The 15,994-nt window shown below is 45.8% G+C and overlaps 5 annotated features.

Annotated features, from left to right (window-relative positions):
* Positions 9,669-10,366: a transcriptional cis regulatory region, noted in NCBI's record as "candidate enhancer chr20.311 targeted for multiplex CRISPR interference". NCBI's record gives its function as "positively regulates RNF24 gene expression with high confidence in K562 cells {active_cell/tissue: K562}" and the evidence as "EXISTENCE:mutant phenotype evidence [ECO:0000015][PMID:30612741]".
* Positions 9,669-10,850: a biological region, named in NCBI's record as "CRISPRi-validated cis-regulatory element chr20.311". NCBI's record gives its function as "regulatory_interactions: RNF24".
* Positions 9,736-10,235: an enhancer, noted in NCBI's record as "H3K27ac hESC enhancer chr20:4063499-4063998 (GRCh37/hg19 assembly coordinates)". NCBI's record gives its function as "activates a minimal SCP1, AML or CMV promoter by ChIP-STARR-seq in primed H9 embryonic stem cells {active_cell/tissue: H9 hESC(primed)}" and the evidence as "EXISTENCE:reporter gene assay evidence [ECO:0000049][PMID:30033119]".
* Positions 10,236-10,737: an enhancer, noted in NCBI's record as "H3K27ac hESC enhancer chr20:4062997-4063498 (GRCh37/hg19 assembly coordinates)". NCBI's record gives its function as "activates a minimal SCP1, AML or CMV promoter by ChIP-STARR-seq in primed H9 embryonic stem cells {active_cell/tissue: H9 hESC(primed)}" and the evidence as "EXISTENCE:reporter gene assay evidence [ECO:0000049][PMID:30033119]".
* Positions 10,651-10,850: an enhancer, noted in NCBI's record as "active region_17492". NCBI's record gives its function as "activates an Ori minimal core promoter by ATAC-STARR-seq in GM12878 lymphoblastoid cells {active_cell/tissue: GM12878}" and the evidence as "EXISTENCE:reporter gene assay evidence [ECO:0000049][PMID:35858748]".

The raw sequence follows: 15,994 nt of genomic DNA, 5'->3' as shown, positions 1-15,994 counted from the left end.
TGAGGTCAAGAGTTCGAGACCAGCCTGGCCAACATGGTGAAACCCTGTCTCTACTAAAAGCACAAAAAATTAGCAAGGCAGGGTGGCACATGCCTGTAATCCCAGCTACTCGGGAGGCTGAGGCAGGAGACCAACCACCTTGGCCTCCCAAAGTGCTGGGGTTACAGGCGTGAGCCACCACACCTTGCCCGTGCAGGTCTTTGGGGGCCATGGAACATAATTTGGACTTTACTGTAAGTGCAGTGGGAAATTCTTGAAAGCTTTTTAGTGTCATAGCCAAATGGTGTTGAGTGAGTGAGTTCTGGTTGCAATGTGCAGTGTGGAAGCAGAAAGACCCATAGGAAGAGGCTGGAGTATATACAGGAAAGAAAATAGATAATCAAATACAAGATTGCATAGCTAAAATGAGAAGTCTGGTGGAAGTTTAATAGGCGGCAAGATCAGTGTGATTTGAGATGGTGAAGCTCTCTTGAATGTGTAATTACACTTTAAGTTCACCCATTACCTCCAGGCTACAGGACCTTGTCTGATTCTCTCTACTTGACAAAGACATGATGGCTGGCTCAAGGCCACAGAAATCAGTCACAGCATCAAGCAGCCCCTTCAGACCAGCTTCCTGGCCTAGCCTTCATGATGCCAAGGTTTCCTAAGGAAGACTACCAAACATCCCCCCAGTAAAGCCACCAAACCCAGGGAGACCCCGTCTCTGCGAAAAATTTAAAAATTAGCTGGGCATGGTGGCACGCACCTCTGGTCCCAGCTACTTGGGAGAATCGCTTGAGCCCAGGAGTTTGAGGCTGCAGTGAGCCATGATTGCACCACTGCACTCCAACCTGGGCAACAGGGCAAGACGCTCTCTCAAAAAAAAAAAAAAAAAAAACCATCAAACCCTTTGCTTGGAAAACTACCTTCAATCTCACCAGCTACGAATTATCACCCTGATCCCTTCTCCCTCCTTTCCTAAGTCCCAACGGGCCGCTTTTGGACAAGCAGCCTAGGGAAAAATTCTATGGGAATCACCACCGTTCTCAGCGGGCCCACGAGAGGGCGAAAGAGAGTCAACGGGCCTGGGACATCTTTTCTCTGGCTCCCAAGAGCAGGGAGGAAGTGGAATCCAGGGCAGGTGTGAGGCCGATTCTGGACTTGGGTGGGTGGGTAGGGGCTGAGATAAGGGAGGCCCCGGGAGCCTGGCAGCTGCTTCCCTTGCCCTCGCCTTCACAGCATGGTAGGAGAGGCCGCTGTCACCCCCACTGCTGGGCAGAAATGTATCTAGCCTTGGCTGACCCCACAAGGACACTGGGTCGCGGCACCTCAGATAAGATTCACTTGGTTGCAAGGCAGCAGGGCTTATATGTCAGTCATCCACAGGCTGCAGGCTGTGGGAGTGGGCGTGACTCCCACTGGGCAAAGGGCAATTCCCTAGAGAAGAGAGAAGGCCCCTGTGACCCAACAGGCACAGCAGCCGCAGATGCACCCTATCCTGCAAAGGGGTCTGGGCGAGGCACCCACAGTGTCCATTTCAGTCCCCTATCGGTTTACTGCTGACCCCAGCCAGCCTCTCTCCTCCTCTTTCCCGGGTAAGAACAGACATGGCCCAGGGTTTTCACATTGGCTGGGACAGTCCATGAAGTTCTAAGGGGTCCTGAGGCCCGACCTCCTGCAGCTGGGATCCTCTGTCGGCTCCCCTTCCCAGGCCCAGGGGAATCTTTCTTACACATTTGCCTCCTCTGGTTTCTCCCTGATGACGCAGGGATTCAGCCATGCTCTTCACTTAATGATTCATGTCTTTTCCTTCAGGGGCCCAGACTAACTTTTTCCTCTTTACAGCTTTGCAAAAACAAAGGTCCCATCCCCACCACCTTATCACTTACACCATAAGGGGTTTGTGACTTTTAACTAAAAGAACCTTTATTACAGCAGAAATGCCATGTGCCAGAGAAGATACCCACCCAGCCCCCAGTGGCTTTGGGAACCTGCAAAACACAGTAAAGGTTGAGAACAACTGAATTTCCAGCATCTTTCCTCATCCTGGGAATTCCTAGGAATCCTCCACTGACCGAGTCAGCACAGAAATGAAATGGAAACTGGAGGCTTAGCCAATCAGATGCTTCCACCCAGCTCTTTGAGCCTGTAGTGAGTGATACAAGAAGCCAAGGACAGTGAACTATTCATCCTGGCAGTGGTGGCAGCAGCAGCATCCTGGGGCCTGGCTACATGGTGGTGATGGCCACAGTGTCCCCCAGATGTTCCAGCAGCATGGTTTTCATCGTGGTCTTGGCTATCCAGCTGCTACCTTTGGTGCCTGCGTGATTTCTGGGTCCAGTCTTCAAGATATTCTGTGAGCTAATCAATACCCTTCCATTAGGTTTTTTGTTTTTTTGTGTTTTTTTTTGCCATAATCAGAGCCTGTTTCTTCTGCTTGCAACTGCGAATGGACTAATACAGAGTCTTTGAAGGGTATGGGCAGGGAGAAATGATGGGACCTGGCTTGTACTTTGAAGAAGTCCTATAGGCTGCTATGTGGCCACGATAGTAGAGCACAGCTACAGCAAATGTGAGTAGACCAGGTAGACAAGTTCCTTGGACTGGGGTGGTGGCAATAGGAAAAGTTGAATGGCGTTTTGGGGGGTGAAAATCAAATTGGCTTGGTGAGGTAACGGATGTCGGAGAAGTGGGAGGAAGGACTCAGGATGTCACCCAGGTTTCTGTCTTTCACAAGTGGGTGTTGCGTTAGATTGATTGCAAAAATGGCCGCAATTCTCCACCCCTCCCTTTGCAATATGATTTAGTAACATCTCTCATCAAGAAGCAGAACTTTGCCAGGTGCTGTGGCTCACATCTGTAGTCCCAGCTACTCGGGAGGCTGAGCTGCGAGGACTGCTTGAGCCCAGGAGTTCGAGGCTGTAGTGAGCTATGATTACGCCACCGCACTCCAGTCTGGGTGACAGAGCAAGACCCTGTCTCTAAAGCAAACAAACAAAAGAATCAGAACTTTTTCCCAAACTCTTTCAAGTGAGGCTTGGCTTTGAGAGTTGTTTGACCAAAAGAGTTTGGCAGAAGTGACAGTCTGTCAGTTCCAAGTAAAGACCTTATAAGATCTTGCATGTTTTCATTTGTTTTCCTGAAACCCTGCAATCACTATGTGACTAAGCCTAGACTAGCCTGCTGCATGGCCACGCTATACCAGCCAGCTTCCAGCCAACCCAGCATCTGATTGCAAAAGCCTAGAGAAATAATAAATGGTTAATGCATTAAGCCAGTAAGTTCTGGGGTGGTTTGTTATCCAGCAAGGGCAAACTGATATATATATATATATATATATATACACACACACACACACACACACACATATATATACACATATATATACACACATATATATACATATATATACACACATATATATACATATATATACACATATATATACACATATATATACATATATACACATATATACATATATACACACATATATACATATATACACACACATATATATACACATATATATACATATATATACACATATATATACACATATATATACACATATATATATACACACACACACACAAACACACACCTCCCTATATATATAAAACCATCAGATATATATATGTGTGTGTATATATGTATATGTATGTATGTATATAACATATGTCAGGTATAACATATCAGGTATGTGTGTGTATATATATATACACATATATATATATACACACACAGACACACACCATGGTGTGTGTGTATATATGTATATACATATATATATATGTCCATCCACATCCCAACCAAGCCCACCACCCTCTAGACTTTCAAGGGCTCCTGACTACCTGGACTTTCCACTGTTCTCCTTGGCCCATGAAATTGGATGTCCCTGTCCCAAGGCTGTCTGCAGTACACTCGAACTTGCTCTGCCCTTGAACTTGCTCTTGGGCATATCAGCTGCCCCTTAGGCCAGACCCTGGGCTTTCTGTATCTCAGAAATCTGCTTTTATCCCTGGACCCCACATTAGTCCCTGTTCCTGGCCTTTGGGATTTGCCGTGGTTGTGGTTGGGCCCTCCAACTGGGTGAGGGCCCAACTGCTCACTCCCAGGAGACCAGTACCCACATCCCAGCACAGAGCAGGTGAGAGCTCCCACACTCCTTTTTACCCACTCTCACGGCCTTACTGTGTGCCCTTCTGTAGCTTCTGTGACCCATTGATCTTCCTACAACCTCCCTGGCAGGATCTCTTTGCTCCTCTCCATCCCATATTCAATACCGGGTCCCTGTGGAGCGCCAGGCTCTATACTAAGGACCCTGTGTGGGTCCCCCAAGGGCAGAAACCATCTTTCCCCATCAACTCAAAGTCTCCTAGGCATAAAGGCTGGGGGTGGAGGGCTGAGGACTGACCCAGGACCTCTATTTTGCCTCCTGTAAATAAAGATATCTCAAAATACAGTAAGAAGACCAACTAAGTGGGTGAAACTCCACCAACTGACAGATAATTGTCACATCTTAACTATACATCTTTCCTCGGCAGGCAAGACACATCTAGGCCTGGTGAAGACAGAAACGCTAGTCCCCCCCCTTATTTGCAGGGGATACATTCAAGACCCCCAGTGGATGCCTGAAACCGCAGATAGTACCAAACCCTATACATACTATGGATTTTTCTATATGTACATATCCACCATAAAGTATAATGCATAAATTAAGCACAGTTAAGAGGTTAACAATAATAACTGATAATAAAATAGAACAATTATAACAACTGTTCTATTTTATTCTCAGTTATTATTGTTAATAATAATTATGTTGTGATGATGTTAAGCATCACCACTTTTGCATCCAGGGGTCGTTATTAAATGAAGTAAGGGTTACCTGAACATAAGCACTGCGATACCTCAGCAGTTGATCTGACAGCCAAGACAGCTACCAAGTGACTAATGAGCGGGAAGAATATGCAGCATGGACGTGCTGGACAGAGGGATGATTCACTCTACTCAGCATGGCAGGCAATTTAAAATGGGAGTTGCTCATTTTGTTTTTTGGTTTTCTTTTTCTTTTTCTTTTTCTTTTTTTTTTTTTTTTTGAGACTGAGTCTCACTCTGTCACCCAGGCTGGAGTGCAAGGGTGCAATCTTGGCTCACTGCAACCTCTGCCTTCCAGGTTCAAGCGATTCTCCTGCCTCAGCCTCCCAAGTAGCTGGGACTACAGGCACACACCACCATGCCCAGCTAATTTTTGTATTTTAGTAGAGAAGGGGTTTCACAATGTTGGCCAGGCTAGTCTCAAACTCCTGACCTCAAGTGATCTGCCCGTCCCAGCCTACCAAAGTACTGGGATTACAGGTGTGAGCCACCCCATCTGGCCAAAACATGAATTATTTATTTCTGGAATTTTTCCATTCAATATTTTCAATCTGTGATTGACAGCATCTAACTGAAACCGCAGAATGCAAAATTGCCAATAAGGTGGGGGACTATTGTAATTTTCTTTTTCTTTTGTGAACCACTCCCTCCCAGGGCCAAAAAGAGTCAGATCCTCTGCAGCAGGGGTCTCCAGCTCCCGCAGTACTGATCCATGGCCTGTTAGAAACTGGGCCACACAGCAGGATGTGAGCTGCAAGTGAGTGAGCATTACCGCCTGAGCTCCGCCTCCTGTCAGATCAGCAGCAGCATTAGGTTCTCATAGAAGCACGAACCCTACTGCAAACTGCGCATGTGAGGGATCTAGGTTGCACGCTCCTTATGAGAATCTGATTAATGCCTGATGATCTGAAGTCGAACAGTTTCATCCCAAAACCATCCCCTCCCCCCTACCCCGTCTGAGGAAAAATTGTCTTCCTCAAAACCAATCCCTGGTGCCAAAAAGTTTGGGGACCACTGGTCTACAAAGAATGCGCATGGATCAGGTGGGGACATGCTATGGTTTGAATGTCCCCTCCAAAACTCATGTTGGAATTTAACTCCCATTGTAGCAGGGTTGAGAGGTGGGGCCTTTAAAAGGTTGGTGAATGCCGTTATCAGTCAAATGGGTTAGTTATCCCAGGAGTGGTTTCCTGATAAAAGGATGAGTTTGGCCAGTTTTCTTTCTGTCTCACACATGTGCTTCCTCACCATGTGATATCTTCCACCATGGGATAAAGCAGCATGAAGTCTTCATCAGTCAGACACCAGCGTCATGCTCTTGGCCTTGCCAGCTTCCAGAACCGTGAGCCAAATACATTATTTTCTTTATAACTTACCCAGTCTGTGGTATTCAGTTATAGCAGCAGAAATGGACTAAGATGGAACACAAGAGAGGGAAGGAAGTGCAGAGAGAGGGGGAGAAGAGGGAATAAAACTTCCCCAGAGCTGCGGAGAGCCTACCCCATCTCTTCATCCCTGGGAATCAGGGAGGGGCTGCAGACACAGCCCCTAAGCCTGCTCTGCATGATGAGAAGCATAAAGACCTGACCCTACAGCGTAGTACCCTAAGCATGTTCCTCCTGCCTGCGATGAAAGGGGCTATCTCCCCACCCACATACAACCCATCTGCCTCAGGTGTCCACACCATGGAGGCAGAATGTCATGGGCTTGCTGTCAGACCATGTCAGATCATGCTGGGAGATAAATTCCCACCATTAACTCAGAACATGGTGGTGCTGGTTGTGGGGTCCTATGGCCAGAGCCTATGCCCTCGCTGTCCATGATAGCTGCATGGGGGGTGTAGGCTGGCACCAGCTACAGATGCCCTGAGAGCTGCTGTCCAAAGAGCTGTTCTGAAGAAGCTTTGCTGAGGGGCACAGGGCCGTGGGGGGAGAGAGAGGCAGCCGTGGGGGCGCCCCAGATGTTGCCCCATGCCCTTCCAGGGCCTGCCTGGAACTGAAGACACGAGCCCTTGTGAGAGTCAGAGGCACTCGGTCGGGCGCGGTGGCTCACGCCTGTAATCCCAGCACTTTGGGAGGCCGAGGCGGGCGGATCACGAGGTCAGGAGATCAAAACCATCCTGGTTAACACGGTGAAACCCTGTATCTACTAAAAATACAAAAAAATTAGCCGGGCGTGGTGGCGGGCGCCTGTAGTCCCAGCTACTCGGGAGACTGAGGCAGGAGAATGGCGTGAACCCAGGAGGCGGAGCTTGCAGTGAGCCGAGATCGCGCCACTGCACTCCAGCCTGGGCGACAGAGCGAGACTCCGTCTCAAAAAAAAAAAAAAAAAAAGTCAGAGGCACTCATCTGAGTTCCCACTTCAAATTGGCAGAGGTCAGGGAGGAGTCCCCACGATAGGACCTACAGGCTGGCAAAGAACGTGCAGGTGGAGGAGGCAAGACAGTGAGGTCACACCAAGGGGCCGGAGAGAGGTCATTCCATGACTGATGTTCTTGGAATCCGGAATCTGCCCTGCGTGCACAAAAATGCCCTCGGAGAGCACGGGGCTGGGGAGCTGGCAGAATCTTCACAGATGCTGAAGAGAGGCACAGCGCAGGCCCTCCCCTGAGTCTTCCCTGATGAAAAAAGGAGGCCAAGGGCAAAGCGGAGAGTGCCGGAGAGCCCTCATTCCTGTTCCCTCGCCACCTGGGGCCCGGGAACCAGACGGACCCTGCGTTAGGATGTGCCGTTGCTGCCTGACTTAAGGCTGGAAAAATACCACGCCCAAGGGTTGGCAGGGGGCTGTGGCTGACCACCAGGGGGCAGCTGTGAGCCCCATGGCCAGGCACGCGCATAGCTCTCTTCAGGGAAAGCAAGCCAGGCTTTCACTGACTGAGACCCTGCTTTAAAAATCTCAGCCAGTAGCTGCTCCCCTGAGCCCATAAGGAGTCCTCAGGTTGAGAGGTGTGCGATGTCCTCCAAGAAACCTTTGTCCCAATAGGCAGACCCCTAAATACCCCAACCACGTTTCAGTACCAAAAATGGGATCCTATACTTTAAAAACCTGACCTTGGTGTGACCCCTAACCCTGGCCTCAGACTTCCCCCAAACCCATTGCAATCCTTCATTTATTTAACCAGTATTTATTTAGCATCTACTATATACCAGCAGCCTATTAGACACCTGGGATTCTTCAGTGAACAAATCAGACAAAGACCCCTGCCCTCCTGGGACTTCTATTCTCTGAAAGGAAGGTGCCATTGAACCATCCACAGTTGCCCGTGATTGGCCAGAATGATTTGGGTGGCTCTGAATGAAGCCATCATGCAATTCAGCTTCGGACAGGTGACTCAAGTGGTTCTAAGGAGCCTCGCCTTACAGCTTGAGCATTAGGCCTCCTGACCATCAGACCCAGAGAGAGTGATGAAGACTGAGGACATCTGAGTCTAGGAGAGACTTCAACTTTTTGGCGTGTGACTTCCATTTCTTTCTCTCAAAAGTAGAGGATAGTGCCTTATTCTTTGAAATTTGCAATGTACTGCCTTTCGACTACAGGGCTTTCACAGAGCAGAAATCTGTTGCTTATTTGATCTGAAACTTCAGTGCTCAGAGAAAATATTCACCTCGGTCTCATTGCATCATTCTCTGAAGAAGGGCCTCTGGGTACCAGTGGCCAAAATCTCATCCTCTTATTCCAAAGATTGGTTCCCCTCTCTGTCTTCTCTCTCTGCGTGTTTATGGCACCATTCTTCCCCAGAGACCTCAGCTGGAAATCTCAGCCTCATATCTAATTCCTCTCTCTTTCTTCCCCAGATCAATCCAGACACCCATCAGTTCTACCTTCTAAATGCCTCTTGATCCTGTTCTCTCCTCTCCACCCCATAGCCACTGCACTGGCCAGGCCACCATCTTTGCTCACCCACACAATTGCCATGTCACAGTTGATCCCCAGATTCCTGTTCTGAAGATACTACTGTCAAGCCCCTGTGCATGGTGTCCTTCAGGCTCATTCGCTTCACCTGAGGGCCCAACCAGGCAAGCTCTCTCCCTGCTGCCTCCTGCCATCCCTACTTACCCCTCTGGACCTCTGCTCCTCTCCTGGCACCTGTACTTCCTGCAGCTCCTCTCTAAAATTTACCAAAATACTCTATCTCCACTTTCACCCTCCCAGGAAGCTCTCCCCAACCAGGCCATTCAAGTAATTCCTTCCTCTATAGCATCTTATTCTTCACTATCCAAGCTTACCTGGGGCAAAGTCCTGTGTTCCCGCAAAACTGTGAGCTCCTGAAGTCAGAGTCAGTCTTTGTCTCCTCTTTGGCCTCAACTAGTGCCTGGTCCCCATGAAGGACCTAGAAGATACCTGCTGCATGGCAGATAGAGCTAAAGGCATCAGTGGCATGGTTAAATCAACCTATGACACCTCAACTCTCAGAAATATGGAGTAGATGTGTTTTTTCCTATTCTTTCCAGTAAATATGGCTAAAAACCCTAGATACTGCCTATAAAACAAGCATCTGAAAGCAGAGAGAAGAAGGCAAACCAGCTAGGGACTTTGGGGCCTAGGGAATGACACAGCAATGAGTTCTCTGGGTTTATCTTTTTGGCTCATATATCCCAGACAGTGTGCAAAGAAGCCAGCATTCTGGAAACAACAATGGGAATAGATGCCCCACAAAAGCCCAAGAAAATCCTGCTCTGCTTGCCAAAGGACCAAGATGGAGTGGCCTAGCAAAACAGAAAACTTTTAGACAATGATCGTTCTGTGCCAGCCAAATACCATAGGAAAAAATGTAAGACCCCACCCCCACCCGCACCATCAAAGGCTGAGTGGGGAGCCTCGGCTTCATGGCTAGGCTCAGGCTGGACTTCACGGCTTCAGGCTATCATGAGGTTTCAATCTCCTTCCCCCTGGCCAGGCTAGTGTCAGAAAAAGCTGGGTGGGAAGCCAGGACTTTTATCCCGCTGGGCAGCAATGAGGTCTCCCTTCCCAGGGGTGTCAGTGGAGACCACATGGGAAGCCTGGACTTTCATTCCCAGCTGGTGGTAACGGAGCACCCCTCCTCCTCTCCCCCGCCCTCCTCCTCTCCCCCGCCCTCCTCCTCTCCCCCGCCCCCCTCCTCTCCCCCGCCCCCCTCCTCTCCCCCGCCCCCCTCCTCTCCCCCGCCCCCTCTCCAGTGGTCTCAGAGGAAGCCTGGTGGAGACTCAGGACTTTCGCAACTGCCAAACGGTAACAAGGCTATCCTGCTTCCCCACAGTATCAGTGGAGGTCACATGTGAAGCAGTGACAAGGGAACTCTGCCCCTCCCAGCCAGGGTGTTGTCGATGGAGACCTAGTAGGAAGCCTGAACCCTACCCACTGCCCAACAGTGATGAGGCGCTCCTTCCCTGACCCTGACTGTCAACAGAGGCAGAGTGGGGAACCTGGACCTTCACCTCACCTGACAGGAACAAAGTAGCAGCCCCTTTCCCTAGAGCAAGTCAGAGGAGGCCTCTGCTAAATCAGATTTAAAGAAGCTCCAAGGTCTCACAACAGAAACTCAAAATGTTGAGGTTTCCGTTGAAAATGACTCATCAAACCAAGAACCAAGAAAACCTCAAATTGAATTAGGAAAAATAATCAACAGACACCAGTGCCTAGGTGACATGGATATTAGAATTGTCTGACAAGAATTTCAAAGCAGCCATCATGAAAATGCTTCAATGAGCAACTACAAACCCTTGAAAAAAACACACAAAAATAGAAAGTCTCAGCAAAGGAACAGAAAGTCGTGGGTCTCAGCAAAGAAACAGGAGACATAAAAAAGAACCAAATGGAGGCCAGGCACAGTGGCTCATGCCTGTAATCCCAACACTTTGGGAGGCTGAGACGGGTGGATCATTTGAGGTCAGGGGCTCAAGACCAGCCTGGCCAACATGGTGGAAACCCCATCTCTACTAAAAATACAAAAATTAGCCAGGCGTGGGGGTGCCTGCCTCTAATCCCAGGTACTCAAGAGGCTGAGACAGAAGAATCCCTTAAACCCAGGAGGTGGAGCTTGCAGTGAGCCGAGATGTTTGCGCCACTGCACTCCAGCCTGGGCGACAGACCAAGACTCCTTCTCAAAAAAAAAAAAAGAACTAAATGGAAATTTTAGAACCAAAATATACATCAACAAAATTTAAAATTCAATGGATGGATTGAACAGCAAAATAGAGATGACAGCATAAAGAATTAGTGAACTTGAAAATAGAACAATAAGATTACCCAATCCAAGCAACAGAGAGAAAATAGTAGAGAAAAAAATGAACAGAACCCAAGAGACTTGTGAGGCTGTAACAAAAGATCTAACATTTGTGTCACTAGAGACCCAGGTGGAGAGGTGAAAGGATCTACATTTGAAAAAGTATTTGAAGAAATAATGGCTAAAAATGTCCCAAATTTGACAAAAGACATGAACCGACAGATTCAGGAAGCTAAGTGAAACTCAAACAGGATAAACCCCAAGAAGTTCAAATCAAAACATATCTTGGCCAAACTTCTAAAAACTAAAGCCAAAAAAAAAAAAAAAAGTCTTGAAAGCAGAGAGAAATGACGCATTGCCTACAGGAGAAAAATAATTGGAAAGACGTCAGATTTCTTATCAGAAACCCTAAAGTCCAGAAGAGAGTGGCACATTTCTTTTCTAGTGCTGAAAAGAAAAAAAGGAACTCTCAACCCAGAATTCTATATCCAGTAAAAAGATTATTCAAGAATGACGGGAATCCAGATGTTCTCAGATTAGGAGAACCAGGAGAATTTGTTGTCAGCACCTGCCATTTAGGAATGACTAAAAAGAAGTTGTCTAAACAGAAAGGAAATGATGAACAAAGGAATTTTTCTTTTTTCTTTTTTTTTTTTTTTGTTGAGACAGAGTCTCGTTCTGTCACCAGGCTGGAGTGCAGTGGTGCAATCTCAGCTCACTGCAACATCTGCCTCCCAGATTCAAGCGATTCTTCTGTCTCAGCCTCCTGAGTAGCTGGGACTACAGGCACACGCCACCATGCCCGGCTAAATTTTTTGTATTTTTAGTAGAGACGGGATTTCACCATATTGGCAAGGCTGGGCTCGAACTCCTGACCTCATGATCCACCAGCCTCGACCTCCCAAAGTGCTGGGATTACAGGCGTGAGCCACCACACCTGGCTGAATGAAGGATCTTAGAACAACAGTAAAGAAGAAAGAACAATGAAAAGCACAAAAATATGGATAAATACAACAGACTTTCCTTATCCTCTTGAGTTTTCTTTCTTTCTTTCTTCCTTTCTTTTTTTTTTTTTTTTTTAGATGGAGTCTTGCCCTGTCGCCAGGCTGAAGTGCAATGGCGTGATCTTGGCCTCCCGAGTTCGAGCGATTCTCCTGCCTCAGCCTCCCAAGTAGCTGGGACTACAGGCACGCGCCACCAGGCCCAGCTAATTTTTGTATTTTTAGTAGAGTCGGGATTTCACCACGTTGGCCAGCATGGTCTCGATCTCTTGACCTCATGATCCACCTGCCTCGGCCTCCCAAAGTGCTGGGATTACAGGCATGAGCCACCGTGCCAGGCCTCTTCTTTAGATACAGTGATGGGGTCTCACTATATTACCCAGACTGGTCTTGAACTCTTAGGCTCAAGCAGTCCTCCTGCCTCGGCCTCTCAGTGTTGGGATTACAGGCATGAGCCTCTTGATTTTTCTAAATTATGTTTGACAGTTAAAGTAAAAAATGTACTTTGGGATGCCAACGCGGGCGGATCACCTGAGGTCAGGACTTCAAGACCATCCTGGCCAACATGGTGAAACCCCGTCTCTACTAAAATTACAAAAATGAGTTGGGCGTAGTGGTGCACACCTGTAATCCCAGCTACCTGGGAGGCTGAGGCAGGAGAATCACTTGAACCCGGGAGGCAGAGGTTGCAGTGAGCCGAGATCGCACCATTGCTCTCCAGCCTGGGCGACAAGAGTGAGACTTCGTCTCAAAAAAAAAAAAAAAAAGGCCGGGCGTGGTAACTAATGCCTATAATCCCAGCATTTTGGGAGGCCAAGGCAGGCGGACCACGAGGTCGGGAGTTTGAGACCAGCCTGGCCAACATGGTGAAACCCCATTTCTACTAAAGATATAAAAAATTAGCTGGGCATGGTGGCATGCACCTGTAATCCCAGCTACTCGGGAGGCTGAGGGAGAAGAATCACTTGAACCCGGGAGGCGAAGGTTGCAGTGAGCCGAGATCGTGAGATCGCACCATTGCACCCCAGACTGGGTGACAGGGCAAGACTCTATCTCAAAAAATAAATAAATAAATAAAGCAAAAATTATAACACCGTATGATGTGGTTCTCAACAAATATAAATATTTAAGACAATTATATTAGAAATGGAAGAAAGTAATGCGATGTTAGGAAGGTAGGTTTTACACTTCACTTGAACTAGTTAAATGTTAATACTCATAGATAGTGTGACTTGAAAGATTTGAAATCACATAGAGTGTGTTCTCTGACCACAATCGAATACATACAGAGACAGAGATACGAATATAGATAGATATTTGAATAGACAGATATAAATATAGATAGCTATATATCTAGAACAACTACTGAAAAGGGTATACAAGAGATATACACTCACAAACACTATCGATAAATCAAAATGAATGAAAACATTCAAGTGTCCCGTAGAAAGGCAGGAAAGAAAAAACAAAGAGAACAATAGAAAACTTAAAAATTTAATGGCTGACTTAATTCCTAACATATAAATAATTCCATTAAATATAAATTTACCCAAGCATACCAATTAAAATACAGAGATTGACAGAGAGGATTTAAAACATGACCCAACTATATGCTATCTACACAGAACTCATTTCAAATGTAACAATATAGGTAAATTGAAAGTTAAAAGATGGCTAGGCGTGGTGGCTCACACCTGTAATCCTGGCCATTTGGGAGGCTGAGGCAGGAGGATCACTTGAGCCCAGGAGTTTGATGCTGCAGGGAGCTATGATTGTGCCACTGCACTCTAGCTTGGGTGACAGAGTGAGACCCTGTCTCTAAATAAAAATTTAAATTTAAATTTAAAAATTAAAAAGATCAGTTTTACACCACAAACATAAATCAAAAGAAAGCGAGAGTGGCTATATTGATGTCAGACAACGCGACTTCAGAGCAAAGAAAATTACCAAGGCCATTCTACAATGATAAAATGGTCAATCCACCAAGAAGGCATAGCAATCCTAAATGTGTATGCACAAAACAACAGAGCTGCAACATATGTGAAGCCAAACTTGATCAAATTGAAAAGAGAAATAGACAAATGCATTATTGTAGTTGGAGAATTCATTTTTCTCTCAGCAATTGATAGAGCAACCAGACAGAAAATCAGCAAAGATATAGAAGACACCAACAATACCATCAAACAACAGAATCCAGCTGACATTTATAGAACACTCCACCCAAAAATAGCAGAAACCACATTCTTTTCAAGCACCCAGGGAACATATATCAAGATAGGCCATATCCTGGACCATAAAATACACCTCAACAAATGTAGAAGAATTGAATCATACTGTGTTTTCTGACCACATGGAACAAATAACAGAAAGGTAACAGGAAAATCTCCAAACACTTGGAAATAAAACAATACACTTTAATCCTTGGGTTAAAGAGGAGGCTCATGGGAAATTAAAAAAAATACAGTGAACTAAATGAAAATGAAAATACGACGTACCAAAATGTGTGGGACACACTTAAAACAGTGTTAAGGGGGAATTTGTGAAACTAAATGTTTACATTAGAAATGAGGAAAAAACTCAAATCAATAATCTAATCTCCCATCTCAAGAAACTAGAAAAAGAAGAGCAAAATAAACCCAAATTCAGCAGAAATCAGGAAATAATAAGAGCAGAAATCAATGAAAGTAAAAACAGAAAACAATATAGAAAAGCAATAAAACAAAAAGTTGATTCCTTGACAAGATCAATAAGATGGACAAACCTCTAGCAAGACTGACAAAAGAAAAAAGAAAGAAAACACAAGTTACGAATTTCAGGAAAGAAACAGGTATCTGTTGTTATCACTGAACACCCCAAAGACATTAAAAAAAGAATAAGATAATACTACCAACGCTACACACATACATTTAACAACTTCAATGAAATTGACAAATTCCTCAACAACCGCAAACAAGCACAATTTGCCCAATATGAAGTGAATAATTTGAGTAGCCCTTTCACTCTAAGGAAAATTGAATTCAAATTTTTAAGACTATTAAAATGAAAGAAGAAATCTTCAACCCTGATGATTTCACTGGCGAATTATACCAAATGTTTAAAGAAAAATTAACACCAGTTCTACACAATCTCTTCCAGAAAATAGAAGAAGAAAGCATGTTTCCTAATTCATTTTATGTAGCCAATATTACTCTAATACCAAAACAAGGCAAAGTACAAAAAAGAAAACCATAGTCCAATATCCCCAATGAATACAGATGAAAATGTCCTTAACAAAATATTAACTAATAGAATTCAGCAATATACTAAAATACACACATATACACATTATGTATAATAAACATATTAAAGAGAGAGATTATAACCAGATGAGGCTTATTCCAGGTATTAATGGCTTGTTCAGTATTAAAAATAAATCACTGTAACTCATCATATCAATAGGCTAAAGAAGAATTATATCTGCTGGGCGCGGTGGCTCACGCCTGTAATCCCAGCACTTTAGGAGGCCGAGGCAGGCAGATCATGAGGTCAGGAGATCGAAACCATCCTGGCTAACACTGTGAAACCCGGTCTCTACTAAAAAAAAAAATACAAAACATTAGCCAGGCGTGGTGGTGGGCACCTGTAGTCCCAGCTACTCGGGAGGCTGAGGCAGGAGAATGGCATGAACCCGGGAGGTGGAGCTTGCAGTGAGCCAAGATCGCACCACTGCACTCCAGCCTGGGTGACAGAGCGAGACTCCGTCTCACCAAAAAAAAAAAAAAAAAAAAAAAAAAAAGCATAAAACTATAAAACTTTTAGAAGAAAACATAAAAATCATCAGGACCTAGGGCTTAGTGAAGAGTTCTTATACATGACACCTGTTCCATGAAAGGGCCGCACATGCAAAGCAGTCCTCAAATGCCAAAGAAGCCAAGAAACCAAAGAAGGAGGC

Source organism: Homo sapiens, chromosome 20 (assembly GCF_000001405.40).
Source record: "Homo sapiens chromosome 20, GRCh38.p14 Primary Assembly".
Classification (NCBI taxonomy): Eukaryota; Metazoa; Chordata; class Mammalia; order Primates; family Hominidae; genus Homo; species Homo sapiens.
This window is presented reverse-complemented; position numbering and strand designations above follow the sequence as displayed.